The sequence below is a fragment of the Homo sapiens genome, chromosome 3 (assembly GCF_000001405.40).
Source record: "Homo sapiens chromosome 3, GRCh38.p14 Primary Assembly".
NCBI classification, from domain to species: domain Eukaryota; kingdom Metazoa; phylum Chordata; class Mammalia; order Primates; family Hominidae; genus Homo; species Homo sapiens.
The window spans coordinates 80,519,957-80,540,111 of NC_000003.12; the positions used below are offsets into that span (position 1 = coordinate 80,519,957).

The 20,155-nt window shown below is 35.5% G+C and overlaps 1 long non-coding RNA gene across 2 annotated transcripts in view, besides 1 other annotated feature; it reads right to left on the reverse strand.

Annotated features, from left to right (window-relative positions):
- Positions 1 to 268: 268 nt before the first annotated feature.
- Positions 269 to 20,155, reverse strand: part of LOC105377177 (uncharacterized) — a 250,124-nt gene continuing 230,237 nt past the window's right edge. Inside the window, exon 4 of one of the 2 annotated variants that reach the window (XR_940994.3) lies at positions 269 to 587. This is a non-coding gene — a long non-coding RNA (uncharacterized LOC105377177). Of the gene's footprint in view, positions 591 to 20,155 lie in introns of both variants that reach the window. The other variant, XR_940993.3, reaches the window with a different exon arrangement.
- Positions 9,858 to 11,057: an enhancer, noted in NCBI's record as "CDK7 strongly-dependent group 2 enhancer chr3:80578964-80580163 (GRCh37/hg19 assembly coordinates)". NCBI's record gives its function as "activates an origin of replication core promoter dependent on BRD2, BRD4, P300/CBP, MED14 and CDK7 cofactors, with strong dependence on CDK7, by STARR-seq in HCT116 cells {active_cell/tissue: HCT116}" and the evidence as "EXISTENCE:reporter gene assay evidence [ECO:0000049][PMID:35650434]".

The following is a 20,155-nucleotide window of genomic DNA, read 5'->3' on the forward strand; positions in this document are numbered from 1 at the left end:
CAGGCTGAATTCTTTTGCTGTGTGAAAAGAATATCAGTTTGTCTATAAATCGAATGTGGGTGAAAATTGCACAAAAGTCTCATTTCTAATAATATGCTTAGCTATTCTACAGAGTATGATATGTAAACCATAAAAAGTAAGACTTAAATCCAGAGTATTATAACATGACTGTAAGTAAAAAGATTTAGATTGTGATATTGTATGGTTTGAATGGATTTCATACACAAATGGTCACGGGAGGCTATACATACTTAAGAGTTAATACGTGTTCAATTGTGGAATGTTTTAATATAATATCAGTTAAAGGAAAAAATTCTACTACCACAATGTTAAAATTGATTTTAAATGATTGATAGGGAGAATAATTGGGTCCAGGAACAATCAAACTATTAACTTGTAAATAGTTCGTGAAATTTAAATGATCCTTTGAGACAGTCTTTATACATGGAAAAAGGTCTGCTCGGGTGTAGCCACATCTTGGTCTTCTTTTCTGCTACAGATAATGAGATAACGTGGAGGGGAAGAAAAGAAAAACACTGTCGTCCTCCTTGGTGGGTCTGGATCGTAGGCAGATACAGGAACTTCAGCTTCTTTGGAAGAGAAAATGAAGAGAGAGGTCAGAGAGACCTTGAGGCTTCTTCAGTTTAGCATGTCAAAATGGCATATTTGGCGGTCTTGCTTTCTGAATCCCAACACTTACAACATGGTGGCTGGGTTAAAGAACACGCATCCTAATAAAGAAATGGTGCTGGTTGGGTGCAGTGGCTCACGCCTGTAATCCCATTACTTCGAGAAGGCTAGGTGGGTGGATCATCTGAGGTCAGGAGTTCAAGACCAGCATGACCAATATGGTGAAACCCATCTCTACTAAAAATACAAAGTTAGCCAGGGGTGGTGGGGCATGCTTGTAGTACCAGCTACTTGGGAGGCTGAGACAGGAGAATCACTTGAGCCTGGGAGATGGAGGTTGCAGTGAACCAAGATAGTGCCATTGCATTCCAGCCTGGGCGACAGGAGTGAAACTCCTTCTAAAAAAAAGAAAAAAAACAAACAAACAGACAAAAAAACAGAAAACAAAAAACAAAAAACGGTGCTACATGTAAACTATTTTGCCCTTTAGTTTTCTGGTTTTCAGGCTAGAAGGCAGACTTTTCCACTAGTGCTTCCTCTGTAGCTGTAAAGCCCCCAGCAAAGAGAAACATACTGTAATGGCTCCTCACCTCCTCTCCTCCAAGCAAGCACATACTTCCTACCAGGGTCAGTTTGCTTCTCTTCACTCTTCAGCTCTTTCAGAGAGTCAGGGCATTTTTGTTTGTTTTTGTATCCCATGCAGGTTTTATTGTTTAATTTGCAGGGTTTGTCATCTGGTACTTTATTTCATCATGCTTGGAAGCAGACACAATAAAACCTGTAATATTGGATTTTGAGCATGTGACAGACATGGGTTTTATCTGTGGGAATCTTTTTGGGAACCTCTAGAGGTGTTTTATATATATTTCTATTAGATTTTCTGGGGCACTACCAATCTTGGAAAAATTATTACATTTTCAGTTTGTAATTTACTAGATTATGCAAATTTAAATTATAAAATAGTACAGAAGTAAGTCTCAGTTACATATTTCCAGGGAAGACTTTGTTTTCTGCCTAGAACCCACATGAAGGCAGACAGGCTTCTTTGTCCTGTTCCTCTGTGATTTTTATTTTAAAAATAATTCCATTATTTCACTAGGGATTTGACATTTGAAAGCCCCCACTTTGAATATTGTATTGTTTTCAAATTCATCCAAGGCAACATCAGCTGTTATTTTTGGTCCTTAATATACCAGTTTACTATTTCTTGATACTAGCAAAATTCTCCAATGGCAAAAATGCCTTCAGAGTTAGCTTACCGCTCTGATACTTTTAACTCACATTATTTTTTTTTCCCAAGGGTTTTTTTTTTACTCTCTCCTGATCAAAAGTGTTTATGTAACAGAAAATTATACATTTCAATATTTTGAGGTATCTTTTCAAGATAAATCCTTTTGCTAAAAATGGAATACTATTCAGCCTTAAGAAGGGGGAAAATCCTGTCATTGGCAATAACATGGATGGATCTACAGGATATTATGACAAATGAAATAAGCCAGACACATAAAAGACATTTCCTATAACAACTCACTCGTGTGAAATCTAGAAAATTGGAAGTCATAGAAACAAAAAGTAGAATGGGGTTTGCTAGAGTCTGGGGGGTCAAGGGAGATGGGAAGATGTACGTCAAAGCACATAAAGTTTCCATTAGACAACGGCTGGAGATCTATTATAGAGCGCAGTGTCTACAGTTAGTAATAATGTATTGTATACTTGAAAATTGCTGACAGAAGATCATAACTTTTCTCAACACAGAAATGATGCATATGTCTGATGAAGGATATGTTAATTAGCTTGATTTAACTATTGCACAATGCATTTATATATAAGGGTATCATGTTGTACTCTGTAAATACATGTGTTTTTATTTGTCAAGGATACCTCAATACAAATAAACAATTAAAAAAACAGAAGTTATGGCATTGTTTAAAAAATCAACAGTATTCCACTGTACCAAATGAGGAGCTACTTTACATAATTCTGAGTGGTGGTGATGGGGTTGGAATCCTTCAACCAAAGACTGAATGGCATAAGCGTATAAATGTAGTGAACTCCTTGCTTTAATGTGAAATTAATTCTATGGTACAATTCATGCTTCAGAGCACCCTGCACGATAAACCTGAAGCCAGATTCTAGCTGGAATCCCATTTTCGCTGATTGTCCTTTCTTTCTTTATCCTGTTTTCCTCGACCACTTTTTCGTGGGAGCATTCCTTCAACAAATCACATGCACCCGAGTCCCTAAATCAGGCTCTTTTCTAGGAGCCCTAACTTAAGATACTGACTGCAAATTCCTGATTTTAATCTCTTCCTTTTCTTCCTCTTCATGAAAAGAAATAAACCTTGGGTATCAGAGAGAATATTGTTTATTAATATATCACGCTTTCTAAGAAACTGTGAGGTTTTTTTTTTTTTGTCATAATGGGATATAGAAGTATACTTCACCCATAGGGGAATGGGAAAAATAGTGATCATTTGCTGAACGATATTAAGTAGTATAAAAACTTTATCTGAAGATAGTCTTAAATAGAAGAGGGTGCATAACATTCCTAAGTAAGGAGGAACCATTAATGGAAGAAACTAGGCAATATTTAGAAAACTTTGGCTGTTGCACATCTAAAAGTTCAAGGGCTTGGGAGAATTTACAACAACTAGAATTCCTTTACTTGATGTCACTAGTCAGCTTGCTAAAAGTAGACTGATCAGAATGGACTTTTTGTGAGCCAGTAGCGAATCAACTCATTGTAATATACAAACCAAGACTTACTATTCCCAAGTCGTCTTTGGGTTATATTTTTCTCTTCTCTCTATTCAAGTTGAGATCTTTTCTTTTATTCTGTAGTTATTACTGTTTTCCTCTTTTCCTTCTATTTTGGAATTCCCCTCAATTTGCAAATGGTTGAGCTATTTTTTAAACAAACTTCTTGTGTGACAAAAGTCCTGAATGAAGCTTGAGCATAAATACACGAATATTATTGAAATAAATAAACCTCAACACAGTTTGTAATTAGCTATAGATTTTAGCAAGCATGTGAAAATAATCCTGTCAGAAAGTAAATTCTTATTAAATAGGGTACTAAAATATCATGAGTGGCTATCAGTCTTATAGGATGGAGATATTTTGGGGGGAGAAGTTCTCAAAATTCTGTCCTTATAAACAAATTTATTTTCTTTTTCTTTTTCATTTTTTTTTTTTTAGATGGAGTTTTGCTCTTTTGCCCAGGCTTGAGTGAAGTGGTACAATCTCAGCTCACTGCAACCTCTGCCCCCCAGGTTCAAGTGATTCTCCTGCCTCAGCCTCCTGAGTAGCTGGGATTACAGGTGCCCGCCACCATGCCCAGCTAATTTTTTGCATTTTTAGTAAAGACGGGGTTTCGCCATGTGGGCCAGGCTGGTCTTGAACTCCTGACCTCAGGTGATCCACCTGCCTTGGCCTACCAAAGTGTTAGGATTACAAGCATGAGCCAACGCGCACGGCATCAACTTTATTTTAAAAATCAATGAGAAAGAGAAAAATGGAAAGAGGAAAAAGTTGAAAACAGATTAAAACAGGGAAGAACAGAAGGGATGAAATAGACCCTGATTATTCCTTAGCAGTGTTGAAATATTTGAAACTTAACTTCTATGGAAAGAAGGAAGTATATCATCTCAAAGAAAGTTAGAGAAGGTTTAAATCCGTCAAATTAGTATGTCTTTATATTTTGATAATCAAGAATATGAGCTGATTTTTTTGAGCCAGCCAAGAGAAAAGTTAACTAGTCCACTGTTCAATTATCTTTATATATTTTCCTTTATTTGGAAAGAGTGAAATATCATGAGATTAATACTATATAACATATTATGTGGTGAAAGACATGTTATCATTTTAGCAACAAAATTTTTGGTAAAATTTGCTATGAATAGCTACTCTATTTTCATATATGTTGAACTAGTAAGAATGTATGCATTAATTTCTAATTGTAGTTGCCAAGACAATGATACATTTTAACTTTAGATGAGTATTCTACCATCAGTAGAGATTTAACGTACTGAAAAATATTGTTCGCTGGTAACACTGGTAATATGCATCCTCTTTTTAGAAAAACAAGAGTAATAAAATAAACTTTGATTTTGATCTATAATTATGGCAGTTATTGCATACCTTTAGATTTTACAACATATTGAATTTTAAAAAGTTAATATTCTCTAATTTCATAAATATTTCGCATTCATATAAGAACTAATATTGTAAAAGCAATTAACAATAAGGATTATTGGAAAGGCAAATAAATAAATGTTAAATAAGCCTCCTTTATGTCAATTTTCTTCTATTTCCTTATTTTATTAGAGGTACCAATATTGGAAATGAAATAGGTTTTGTAAGTCACGTAATTTCTGCACACAGAAAGGTAACACTCCACAGAAAAATACTGGCACTAATTCTTAATACATTTTCTAACATGAAGTTTCCTCAGGGAAATGTAATGTCAGTTGACAAAAATATTCAAGAACCACATACAGGGAATGCCTGAATCCATATAGGCTAATTGCACCATATAATGTAATTTTTGAATTATGTTTTGCTGATGAAGTCACTGTAATAATTTTAGTTTCATTTTATCTTATTTTGATTTATGGATTCTGCTTATATGATGCCTATTACCATTATTTCTTGCCAGCTGAGGCAAAAATATGATTTTCCATTGAAATTATCTTCTATTTCACTTCCCAGAGTGGAAAGTAGCAGTGAATGCATGAATTATAATTGGAAAAATGTGTTATTATGATAATATGGTAAAACAACAGTAGTAGCGTCTTCTGAGGATCTGAGCACTCACTGTACTATGCAGAAATAAGTGAAATAATATATTAAAAAACAATATAAAAGTGAACAGTGGATTGATATTACTAAAAATGGCAGAATAGGGAACTCTAGGGCTCTATCTCTGCACTTTTGCAACTAATAAGTGAGGAAAATCTCTGAATTTGCTTCTGCAGACTCTGGAATCCAGTCAGAAAATTACACAGACAATACCAAACTTAATGAAGAAAGAAGCTTTTGCATTGTAGTAAGAGTTCTGTTGCTCTTAAAAATGACTGCCTACTATTTCACTCTTCTCAGATGGGCAGAAGCTATGAAGACAGCAGCCTATACTCTTGGTGCAGTTTTTGAGTATCAGAGTTAGCAAGACAGACCATCTTCTCAAAGAATTGTGGCTGTGTGCTTCTGCCTGTTTTCTGGAGGCTCCCTTCAGGAAGGACACAAGTGATTGCCTTTGTTTCACCTAATTTGAAACATTCACAGGGCTGGCGTGTCTTTCTGGGGACTTTTTGCTGAAAACATTCAAATGCTAAATAAATTATTGACTGTAGTAGCCTGGGGACAGGGAGAAACAGAACTGGACAAATAATAGACAGACCAAAAATTTTGAAAAGAGGTTAGAGAAGGAGAATCATTAGAAATAAGGGACTTATAAAGCTCCCAGGTATATTAGGAAATAACAGAAGGCAACATGCATGCCCAAGGCTAGGCACATGCTCATAAAAGACCTGAGAAGATCTTAAATGTTCACCTCTGTGAACCTTCAATCTCTAAGCAAGCTATAAGTAAAGGTTAAGGCAGATTTGTAAATGGCCTGATAAGCAGTAAAGATATGCTCAGACACAGATCCAATATGCAAAGATTAAGAGAGTACTGTATTTTTGTTTTGCTTTGTTTTCTTTTCTGGAAAAAAAAGGAAACTATCGAAACAATAGGTGGCGCTAAGCTAAAGAACAGACTTCCATGGCCGCATTGACAAAATACAGACTTTGCAAAATAGCTTAGTAGGACTCTAAACAAACAAGAAAAAACAACCACCACCCACAACAAGCAGCAAAAATATACTTCTTGGGGATGAATAATCTGATTTTCAGAGTCTTCATATTATAATATTCAAAAAGTCCACAGAACACAGCGTGAACATTCAGTATTGTATAAAGTTCACATTATAATATTCCCAAAAAAAAGCCAACGCAGTATGGCACATTCACAGGGAATAAAAGAAACTAATAAAAACAGTCAGGGAAGTGCAGACATTAGATTTATTAGATAAAGACACCTCCTATGGTGTGAATATTTGTGTCCTCCCAAAATTCACAAGTCTAAATCTAATCCCCAGTGTGATGGTATTAACAGGTAAAGTAATTGAAGGTGATTCAGTCATGGGGATGGAGGCTTTAGGAATGGGATTGGTGGGCTCATAAAAGAGGCCCCAGCAAAATGCCTTGTCTCTTTCACCATGTGAGGACATAGTAGGTTCTATTCCATGAAGCAGGAAGTAGAGCCAGACACTGAATCTGCCAGCACCTTCGTCTTGGACCTCCTAGCCTCTAGAGCTGTAAGATATAAATTTCTGTTGTTTATAAGCCACCCAGTTTATGATATTTTATTACAGCAGCCTGAATAGACTAAAACAACACTAAATCAACTGTCCTAAATACCTTCAAAGAGCTAACAGAACTATAAAGAAAGGACTCGATGAAACTAGAAAATCAATGGCTTATTAAATAGAAAATATCAATTAAACAAACAGAAATTATAAAAATGAACCAAAAATTCTGAAGCTAGAAAGTCCAACTAAAATTAAAACATTCACTAGAGAGGTTTAACAAAAGATGTGAAAACAAGAAAGAATGAGCAAACTTGATGGTAAGTTATTTGAGATCATCTAGTCTGAGGACAAAGGTTAAAAACAACAGCAAACATAACAACAAAAAAGAATAATATATGGAGGTTTAGAGGGCTGTGGAAAACTATCAAGCATAATGGTATATGTATAATGAAAGTCCTAGAAAGAGAGAAGAAAAACAAAAGGTTAAAAATATTTGAAAAGTAGTGCTCAAAAAATTCCAAAATTTAATGAAAGACAGGAAGCTATGCATCCAAGAAACTCAGCAAACTCCTAGCAGTATAAACCCAAAGATACCCACTTCAAGAAACATTATAGTCAAAAATTGTCAAAAGCCAAAGACAGAGAATCTTGAAATGCCAGGAGAGAATTGACTCTTAATGTACAATGGATCCTCAAATGATTAATGGCTAATTTCTCAATGAAAATATTAAGGCCAAAAATAAGTGGAATAATGTATAAATGCTGAAAGAAAAAAAACTATGAACTGAGAATTCTTATATCTGGCAAAACTAAAATTCAAAAATGAAGGAGAAATTAAGACATTCCCAGATAAAGAATAAATGAGAAATTTCATCATGAATAGACCTGCTTTCCACAAAATACTTGTTAAAATAAAACTCGAGACAAATTCAATTTAATGGAGTTTAACTGAGCCAAAAAATAATAATTCAGGCAGCTTCCAGAATAATAGCAGATTCAGAGGGACTCTAGGGATGCCTCATGGACAGAACAAATTTATAGACAAAAAAGGGAAAGTGACATATAGAAATCAGAAGTGAGGTACAAAAACAGCTGAATTGGTTACAGGTTGGTGTTTGCTGTATTTGGACACAGTGTGAACACTCAGTAGTGTATGAGTGGTTGAAGTATGGCTGTTGTGATTGGCCAGACTCAGCTGTTGTTACAGGTGCATACTCCTGAATTATGTTTTCAATCTTGTCTACCTATTAAGTTAGGTTGCAGTTTGTCCACAAGAACTCAAATATGGAATTACAGATTCCTTCTCAGGTCATATTTAGTTTGATTTAACATATTAAAGATAGTTCTTCAGATAGAAATGAAGGGACACTCAACAATAACTTCAATCCAAATGAAGAAATATAAAAACAATAATGGTAAATACAAAGATAAATTTAAAAGGTAGCAAATATTATTGCATATTGGCTTTTTAATCCTGTGGTAACTAACATTTTACTATTACAATAATCAAGTTTGAATTAATACTAAATAGGTTCAATAGTATACAAAAGCTCTTCTCCTTTACAGATTTATTCCCTGTATTAGTTTGTTTTCATGCTGCTAATAAAGATATACCTGAGACTGGTTAATTTATACAAGAGGAAGGTTTAATAGACTCACAGTTCCACATAGCTGGGGAGGCCTCACAATCATGGTGGAAGGCAAGGAGGAGCAAGTCACATCTTACATGGATGGCAGCAGGCAAAAAGTGAGCTTGTGCAGGAAAACTTCCCCTTATAATACCATCAAGCTGTCCTGAGACTTACTCACTATCACCAGAACAGCATGGGAAAGCCCTGCCCCCATGATTCAATTACCTCCCACCAAGTCCCTCCTACAACACCTGGAAAGTCAAGATGAGATTTGTGTAGGGACACAGCCCAACCATATCACCACCTTTTATGTTGTTATTGTCACAAATTATATACATTGTGTGTCTACTAATATGTTTTAATTATGATTTTATGCATTTGTTTTAAATCAAATAGAAAAGAAAAATTACAATGTGATAATTAAGCAGAAATCTTTTAAACAACCAATGAGTAAAGGAAAATATTGCAAGTAAAATTGTTAAATACTTTTACTTGAATAAAAAAGAAAACAAAAGCATGATATTCCAAAGCTAATGGAATCTAGTGGAAATAATGCTCAGAGAGAAATTTGGAGCTTCAAATACCTATATTAAAAGAAAATTAAGATCTGAAATGGACAACCTAAAAATTTCTGCCTCTAGAAACTAGAATATGAAGGTCAAGATAAACCACAAGAGGGAAATAATAATTAGAGCTCAGATAAAAGAAATATGAAATATAAAAAACATTAAAGAGATAAAGTTTGGTTCTTTGAAAAGATGAACAAAATTGGTAAATTTAGCTAGACTGACAAAGAAAAAAAGAGAAGAATCAAGTGACCAACATCGGAATTTAAAGCAAGGCCATGAATACAGAGTAGAGAATACTATGAAAAGTTTTATGCCAACAGATTAAATAACCTGTATGAAATTGACAGCTTTCAAGAAACACAAAATCCATCTAAAACTGAGTCAAAAAGAAATAGAAAATCTGAGCAGAAGTATAACTGATTCAAGAAATTGAATCAGTATTCAGAAGTTATCTGTTAAGAAAAGTCCAGAACCAGATGGCTTCACATCTGAATGCTAACGATGATTTAAATAATTTAAATCCAAACTTCTCAAACTCTTTCAAAAAATAGAAAAGGAGGGAACACCTCCTAACATTAACTGAGTTAAGCATTGCCTTTGAAATCTCCGTTGCAAAATTATAACTGTGACAGTGAAAGAGATCTGACCTAACAATCTCCATCTTGCCTCTAACCTCCAAGCTGTCCTTGTTCATTCCTGGGTGTAGGCTGAATTAACTTTGAGAGGAACTTTATTTATAGTTCATACGTTGAAACAAAGATTATAATAAACCTTGCTGCAAACAAACCCTCTTCTTGTCTGGAGACTAGACTGCCTTTGTAGGACTAACAAATTAGCCAAAAGATTAGAAATTATAGTTTAGGAGCTGAAGGCTGCAAGATTCGAAACCTCTGCAAATTGGTCCTGGGATAACATCATTATTGTAAAACCGAAAATTAGTGCTTGAGAGATTTTGCACACCCTGCACTTGATGGATCAGCTGGCACCACCCAGATCAATAAACTGGCTCATGTGATCTTGTGGCCCCCACCCAGGAACTGACTCAGCACTTCAACTCCCTGTGATTTCATCTCCGGAACAACCAATTAGCACTACTGACTCACTGACCCCTACCCACCAAATTACCCTTGATTCCTGAATGCTTGGGGAGACAGATTTCGGTAGTAAATACAACTCTGGTCTCCCACACAGGGGGCTCTGCATGAATAACTCTTTGTCTATTGCAATTCCCCCATCTTGATAAATCGATTCCGTCTAGGCAGTGGGCAAGGTGAACCCACTGGGTGGGTACACTCTGATAACAAAGACATCATAAGAAAAGAAAGCTGTATTTAAATTCCTCTCATTAATGCAGGTTTAAAATTTTTCAACAAAATGCAAATTGATTCCAGCAGAATAATAAGAAGATTACAGACTATGACCAAGTTGGATTCCAGGGGTGTAAAGGTGGCTCAACATACAAAAATAATTAATGTAATACAACACGTTAATATATAGAAGGAGGGTGAAAGATTACTGCAATTAATGTATAAAAATGTATTTCACACAAATCAATGACATTTCATTACAAAAATACTCAAGAAGCTAGAACTATAAAAACAAAAATTTCCTCATTATGATAAAGGTATAATTATTTTTTTAAAAACCCCAGCTAACATTATACTTAATGGTAAAACATTGAAAGCTTCCCCTTAAATCATGAATAGACAAGTATGGCCATTTTGCCCCTTCTCTGCAACATTTTGCTTGACATTCTTGATAGAACAATTAAGAAAGTGAAATAAATAAAATTCCTCCAAATTAGAAGGGAAAAATTAAAATGATCTGTATTTACAAATGAGATATTATATATAAGAAAATCACAAGGAATTCATAAACTGTTAGAAATAATAAATGATTTTACCAAAGTTGCCTTTTAAAAGATCAGCACACAAGAATCAGTTGTATTTCTATAAAACTAAAAGTAGACATTCTATAATTAAAAATAAGAAAATAATTCTGTTTTCAATAGTATCTAAAGAAATAAAATAATAATAAATTTAACAAGTGAAGTGCAAGACTTATATTGTGAAAATAAAATATTGCTAATTAGAAGTGACAGGGTTCACTATGTGGAAAACTTCAAGGAATCTATAAAAAAAGCTTATAAATAACGAGTGTAGAAAAATTGCAGGTTACATAAGCATAAAAATATTTTGTAGTTATATATGGCAGTAATGAACGCATAGACATAGAAATTAATGTATCATAGCATTTATAATCACTAAAAATCAAAATAGTCACGTATAAATCTAATAAAACATGTTTAGAAATTTTACATTAAAATCTATGCAATGCTGATAAAAAATCAAAGAAGTTCTAAATAAATAGAGAAACCTACTATGTTCTTATATTAGAATACTCAGTGTAGTAAAGATAAAAGTTATCCTGAAACTGGCATACAAATTAACACATTTTTTATCACTGCTAGAATTTTATGACATAGAAAATACTATTATAAATTTTATATGAAAGACAAAAGAAGTAAAATTACTAAAACAACTTTCAAAAAGAATAAAGTAAGAAGAATCCTTCTGCCTGATTCCAAGGTTTATTATATAGCTATAGTAATTTTAAGAATTTAAATACACATAAGTTAAAGCAACTTTATTCATAATAGTAAAAAGTAGAAAACAAGCCAATTTCCTTAAATGAACAAATGACCTAAAACACTGTGGGACACACATACCATGAATTACTCCTTAGTGTTTAAAAAGGAACTGACTATTGACATGACATGGATGAATTTTCGTAGAATTATACTGCGTGTAACAAAGCCAACCTTCATGTTACATACTGCATAGTATTACTTATATAACATACTTGGAATGATAATTTATAGATGAAGAACAGGTTAGTGGTTGCCAATGATTAAGGGGGAAGGAAATAAGTAGATGAAGCTATACAAGGGTGACTTGCAGGAATTCTGTGGTGAAGAAAATGTGGTTTATCTTTTTTGGTTTTATTTATTTATTTATTTAATGTTATTTTTTTTTTTTTTTTGGAGACAGAGTCTCACTCTGTCATCTGGGCTGGAATGTAGTGGCATGATCTTGGCTCATTGCAACCTCTGCCTCCTGGGTTCAAGTGATTCTCCTGCCTTAGCCTCCGGAGTATTTGGGATTACAGACATGTGCCACCACACCCAGCTAATTTTTGTATATTTAGTAAAGATGGGATTTCACTATGTTGGCCAGGCTGGTCTCGAACTCCTGACCTCGTGATTAGCCCACCTCGACCTCCCAATGTGCTGGGATTACAGATGTGATCCACTGTGCCCAGCCTAAGATAATATTGAGGGATTTCTTTTTTTTCTTTTTTTGAGATGGAGTCTCGCTCTGTCACCAGGTTGGAGTGCAGTGGCACGATCTTGGCTCACTGCAACAACTGCTTTTCTGGTTCAATTGATTCTCCTGCCTCAGCTTCCTAGGTAGCTGGGACTACAGGTGTGCCTCAGCACATGCAGCTAATTTTCATATTTTTAGTAGAGACGACGTTTCACCATGTTGGCCAGGATGGTCTCTATCTCTTAACCTTGTGTTCTGCCTGCCTCAGCCTCCCAAAGTGCTGGGATTACAGGCATGAGCCACCACTCCTGGCCTGGTTTGTTTTATTTTGGAGAAGAAGCTTGCTTTGTTGCGCAGGCTGGAAGGTAGTGGCAAAATCATAGCTCACTGCTGTCTCAAACTCCTGGGCTCAAACAATCCTCCTGCCTCAGCCTCCCAAAGTGCTAGGATTCCAGTGTGAGCCACAATGTCCAGGGTGTTATTTATCTTAACTGTATCAATATTAACACCCTGGTTGTGATATTGTAGTATAAATTTGCAAGATGTTAACACTTAATGAATTTGAGTAAAGGTACACTTTTGAGATTTCCGTATTATTTCTTATACCTGCATGTGGATTGTGGTGGTTAATTTTATGTGTCAATTTGAGTGGGTTATGGAATGCTCAGGTAGCTGGTAAAACATTATTCCTGTGTGTGTCTGTGAGTGCTTCTAGAAGAGATTACTGTTTGAATCAGTAAACTGAATAAAGATGACCCTTACCTAGAGAGTGGGCACATTCAATCTGTGGAGGGTTTTCATAGAAGAAAATGGAAAGGAAGGGGAAATCTGTTCTCTGCATGAGCTAGGGCATCATCTTCTCCTGCCCACAGGCATTGGTACTCTTGGTTCTTGGGTCTTTAGACTTGGACCAGAATTTATACCATTGACTCCCAGGCCTGTAGGTTTTGACTAGAACTACACCACTGTCTTTCCTGTGCCTCCAGTGACATCATGGGACTTCTTAGCCTTTATAACCACCTGAGCCAATCTCTTATAAAATACATCTCTTTTTATAAGTCCAAATATTTATCTTATTGGCTCTGCTTCTCTGGAGACCATTTGTACATGAATCTATAATTATCTCAAAATTAAAGGTTTAATTTTTAAAAAGGGAAACATTTGTTGATGTCTCAATCAGTGGATGAATGATTCATCATTGGTCAATCATTAGGAATGAAATTCTTTGGCAAAAAACTAAGTTGCAACTTGTCATATGTACGCAAAAAGAGTTTTGAGTTTCCCGGGAAGAAAACTATTTATAGTCTATTGCTCAGTAACAGCATGACTGATACGGTTTGGGTCTGTGTCCCAACCCATATCTCATCTTGAATTGTAATCCCTGTAATCCCCATGTATCTAGGGAGAGACCTGGTGGGAGGTGATTGGATCCTGGGGGTAATTTCCCCTATGCTGTTCTGATGACAGTGAGTTCTCACAAGAGCTGATAGTTTTATAAGGGACTCCTCCCCCTTCGCCCCTCACTCTTTTCTCTCTCACCTGCTGCCATGTAAAATGTGCCTATTCCCCTTCCACCATGTTTGTAAGTTTCCTAAGGCCTCCCCAGCCATAGGGAACTGTGAGTCAATTAAACTTCTTTCCTTTTATAAAGTGCGCAATCTTGGGAAGTTCTTTTTTTTTTTTTTTGAGACAGAGTTTCACTCTTGTTGCCCCAGGCTGGAGTGCAATGGCGCGATCTTGGCTCACGGCAACCTCCGCCTCCCAGGTTCAAGCGATTCTCCTGCCTCAGCCTCCCTAGTAGCTGGGATTACAGGCATGTGCCACCACGCCCGGCTAATTTTGTATTTTTAGTAGATACCGCGTTTCTCCATGTTAGTCAGGCTGGTCTCAAACTCCCGACCTCAGGTGATCTGCCCACCTTGGCCTCCCAAAGTTCTGGGATTACAGGCGTGAACCACCGCGCCCAGCCTGGGAAGCTCTTTCTAGCAGTGTGAAATGGGCTAATACAATAACAGTTCACAGTTTACAGTTCCTCTGAGCAAGGACTCTTACATAACAGCCACATTGGTATGCCATGAATATTATCCCAGGATTTCTCCAGAAAAACTTGGAAGTTATCAGAGGAATTTTGCACAGAGACAAGAAAAAACAAAAATTTCTGGTAATTTTCAGATACTAGCTTTAACTGATTCTAATTTATGATGCCTTAAAAAAATCACTGTAATCCACTAAAGATGAACTTATTAAAGTCAAATTTGATTAAATGGACTGCAGTCATGCATCTGTCTTTCTCTCTATTTGGGACCACGGACTTATCTCATGGTTTATTTTCCAATCAGAGAATATACAATGGAATAAATGTACCTAATAGTTGGCAGAATTATTGCATCAAACTCCTGACCTCAGAAATGGCAGGAAGGGAGAAATGAAAGCCCCAAAAAATGCTCCCCCCTCAAACAGAATAATAAAAACAGTTCTGTCTCTAGGGAGGTTATTGTAGGATTTAATGAGATCATGAAATGCTGGAAATTGCAGGATTGTTCAATATGACCAAATACCCATTTAACTTGACTATTTGGCAGTGAAAAAAAAAATAACAACAGGTAGCTTGTGAATAAATTCTAGTAATTATTGAAACTCTTATTTGGTGACACCATTTCAAACTGAATTTAGAAAGGAGGTATATATATTAGAGCAAATTAAGCAAACTCTGGGATGAAGAATGAAGTTATCATCAACCTATTAATATTTTTTCCCTATCACTATTAGGAAAAAAAAATCAGAAGTGGTTTGTTTTCATGTAGTAAGGACAACAGTATGCCTTTATATATTTACCTCAAGGATATGCCCAGTTGGCTCAGTGTTATATTCCAAAGGGATCTTGATTATCACAATATCCCAAAAAGCATCATGAAAGTCAATTTCATTGATGAGATTATGCTAATTCCTAGTGAGCGGAAAGTAGGAGATGCTTTAAATACCCTTCTAAAATACATGTCTGACAGAGGATCAGAAATAATCCCCAGGGAACTAAAGCAGCTTGACACATTAATTAAGTTGCCCAGGCTCCAGTGTTTTGTAGAATGTTATAATATTACTTCTAAGGTAAGAGGGAGGTTGATAAATCTTACAGTGTTCACTATGAAGAAAGAGGCTCTTTTTGTATTTTGATGGCAATATATATCACATTTGAAATAGCCTGAAAGGTTGCAACTTTAAAAAGGTGTTCGGAGGGAGAAAGAAAAAGAAGAAATGTTTTCGCCTGCTGACCTTGAGTACTAATTATTCTGCCACATGTGCTATGTGATATAATAGATCCAGTGTTTTCAGATATATAACATGTTACAGATAGGGATGTTCAGTGTTGCCTTTGTCAAGACCCCAAAATAATATTCCATTGTGAAGAACTGGAATTTTGGATTCATGCCATTTCAAATTCTATGACAAACTGCATTTATTGCAAAGCAATTCTACACCGTCTACTAGTCTCTTGGAAAAATTGCATACCTAAGTGAAGGACACAAAGTGGTTACCCTAAGTGAGTATTATCTGATCCACCACACCATAAAATTAGACTCAAACAACATAATTTCATTGTGCATTGAAATGATACATATAAGGCTAAGCCAAATCTTGTCTAGGAGGCACCATTATTTTTATACAAAAATGTTATTAGAACATTCATGATATGTCCTCCTACTCTCTCAGTATTTGTTTCCTATCACAACCCTCTGGCATTATGGGTGTTGGATACCAAAGATGATGGCTCTTATTAGATACCTCTCCTCTTGGAGGTGCTAGCTCTGTATTCAGTTTCCCACATTGTGGCATCGTGCCTAAGTGTGGTTAGTCCTCCACTGCCACTGCTCTTAGGGTATGATACTATTACTATTGGTTCCTTATATTCTATCCACACTTTTGCAAATTATTAAACACCCTTTAAAATATGAGCTTTCAATGTTGTGTCTTGCCATAATCACATAAATAAAAAAGAGGAATACTGAATTTTTCCTGTGAAACTGGGAATGATAAAAGTATTTTACTACAAGTGCCAGCCATCACAACTATACAAGAAAATAAACAAAAGTTAAAAAATTTTGCTCTGCAGAGAGACAAAAAATAAAAGTGGCATTATTACAGATATGATTGTATATTCACATGATCTAAAATAATATACAGATAAATTATTGAAATTTAGCAAATTTATTAAGCATGAAGATTATATATGAAAATTAGTTGTTACTTATATTACCAACAAACAGAAAATTAAAATAATGTTATGTACTATAGCATCAAAAATGTCAAATATGAATGAATCTAACATAAATTGTGCAAGATTTCCATGTATTACAACATAATATATGATTGATCTAAATAATAACTATATAAATGAAGAATAAGCCATATTCATTAATTGCAATGCCTAATATTGTAAAAATGTCATTTTCCCAAATTGATATACAGATTTAATGTATTTCATTCAGAAATTCCAAAAGGTTTTTTGAAGACCTAAAAAAACTTTCCTAAGCTGTGTGTATAAATGCAAAAACCAAGAAATGCCCAGAAGAAACACTTGAGGATGAACAAGTTATAGAACTTTATTAATAGAATTTACAAAAGAGATTTAATGTTATGGTATGGTAAAAGTAGCAGTGTGTTATTGGTGTAAATGTAAGAGAAAAGATAGAATTAATCTATATACATACAGATCTATACATTTGCATGTACATACACACAACAATATATACACACATATCTTTGCTTTATGAAAAATTACACTGAAAATGAGGGGAGCCAAAATTATCTAAGATGTAGTATTGGAGAATCTGAATAATCTCAGGGAAAATGGCATACACAAAAGTCTATTTGAAATAGATTACAGTCATAATTGTCAACAGTAAAATTAGATTTTATAAAGTATAAAATAAGATTTTAGAAAGTAACTCTACTAAAAATACAAAAATTAGTTGGGCGTGGTGACGGGCGCCTATAATCCCAGCTACTCAGGAGGCTGAGGTAGGAGAATTGTTTGAACCTGGCGGGGTGGAGATTGCAGTGAGCCGAGATTGTGCCACTGCACTTCAGCCTGGGCAACAGAGTGAGACTCCGTCTCAAAAAAAGAAAAAAAAAAAAGGCATACAATGAATTATCAGAAAGAACTATACAAAAGTGAAGAATTCTGTCCATCTAAGTTGCTATTAAGACAGTGAGAGAAACGACATGAGTGGGACTAGGGATTTGTTCCCACACATATTAGTCCAGTCCGTTAGTCCATTTGAGTTGCTATAAAGGAATTACCTGAGGCTGAGTAATTTATGAGGAAGAAGTTTATTTGGCTCACAGTTCCACAGGCTGTATAAGAAGCATGGTTTCAGCATCTGCTCTGGTGAGGGCCTCAGGAAACTTCCACATTTGGGGGAAGGGGAACTGGCATCATGTGGTGACAGAGGGAGGAAGAGAGAGGGGAGGGAGGTGACACACTTTGTAACAATCAGATCGCATGAGAACTAGGAGTGAGAACTCGCCCAATCCAGTGAGACTGGCACCCAGCCATTCATGAGGGATCTGCCTCCAGGACCCAAACTCCTCCCACTAGGCCAGACCTCCAATATTGGGGATCACATTTCAGCATGAGATTTGGAGGGTACGAATTTCGAGATTATATCACCTAGAACATAGACTATGTTTTGGAGCATTCACAGCCTAAGTAACTGAGACCAATCTCCTGCTTAAAATAGTAGAAAATTTAGAAAATAATATACACTATTTTGGAAATATTTTGAAAGAATATATGTACATATATATTTTATACATACACATATTTATATGTACAAATACATATACATCTATATATGTGTAGATATGTTACAGCATATATATATATATATATATATATATATATGCAAACACACACCTGTATATATGCTGTATCATATCTGAGAGACATCAAGGGAATACGGAATTATGCAATCAACCTCAAAGAGAAGAAACCATAAAGAAATATGGCAAATATTTGGGGCTCTTTATTCTGTAGTTTCACTAGATAGATAGATACTAAATAGAAATTTCTAGTTTAAGAATTCAATATGGCTGAGGTGGGCGAATCACTTGAGGTCAGGGGTTCAAAACCAGCCTGACTAACATGGTGAAACCCCGTCTTTACAAAAAATACAAAAAAATTAACCAGGCATGGTGGCGGGCACCTGTAATTCCAGCTACTTGGGACACTGAGGCAGGAGAATCGCTTGAATCTGGGAGGTGGAGTTTGTAGTGAGCCGAGATTGAGCCGAGGTTGAGTCTCAACCTCGGCAACAGAATGAGACTCCATCTCAAAAAAAAAGAAAGAAAAATTCAGTATACAAAACAAGAGCTGAAGTAGAATTATTTAATAATAGATCAGGTCCTGTTGAAGAGAGAATTTGGAATTTGTGAACTAAATATATCAGGACAAAATATCCAGAACTTTGTACAGTGAAAAAAAGGATGAGGAGTTCAGGAATCAGTCCAGGAGATACGAGACATAGAGTGAGAAGGTCCAGAAGGAGAGGAGAGACCACACGATAGAACATATACATAAAAATGTAACTTTGAGAAAATTTAAAAACTGATGAAAGATTTTAAGCTATGTATTCAAGAGGCCCTCCATCTCCAATCAAGAGAAGTAAAAAGAAACACAGAGATATACTTGGAACACGTAGACAAAGAATTGAAAACCAGAGATAAAGAAATAACAATGCCAAAAATTTTGGAGAAAAGGACAGACGACACTTATAGAAGCAAGAGAGTGACAGCAAACTTTCCAACAACAAAAACAATGGAAGCAAGAGAGCAATGACAGAATGTCTTCTAAGCAGAAAATTCATTACTGAAAACCTAGACTTCTATTTATATCCAGAGAAAATATTCATCACGAATACATGTAAATTAATGATGTTTTCAAATAACAAAAACACAACTTGTCATCTGTGGTTGCGTTTCAAGGAACATACCAAGTTATTTTTCAGGAAGAATATATCTGACACTAAGGAGTAGTTCAGCTAATGGAAAGGAATGAAGGACAATGAAAGTTTTAAACATATGGATAAATATAACTTAGTATTGACTATCATAAGTAACATTGTATTGTTCATTCATTGATGGTTTATTAAAATAGATTTGGACAATTTTTTGTGTTTTTGAGATGAAGTCTCACTCTGTCACTCAGGCTGGAGTGCAGTGGCACAGTCTCAACTCACTGCAACCTCCGCCTTCTGGGTTCAAGTGATTCTCCTGCCTCATCCTCCCGAGTAGCTGTGACTACAGGCAAATGCCACCTCACACGGCTAATTTTTTTTATTTTTAGTAGAGACAGGGTTTCCCCATGTTGGCCAGGCTGGTCTCGAACTCCTGACCTCTTGTGATCCACCCACCTCAGCCTCCCAAAGTGCTGGGATTACAGGCATGAGCCATCGCGCCCAGTCGACAATGGTTTTTAAGTGTTCTACAGTACAGTAGTTGTATTATTAGGAAAAAAAGTAAATATAATTAATTATTGAGATATACATATTCTAGGATAAGCAGTAAATAGTAAAATAATGCACAAATGTGCTAATGGAAGGAAACTATTCCACTAAAAATATTATTTGGTCAAAACCAAAGAAGGTTAAG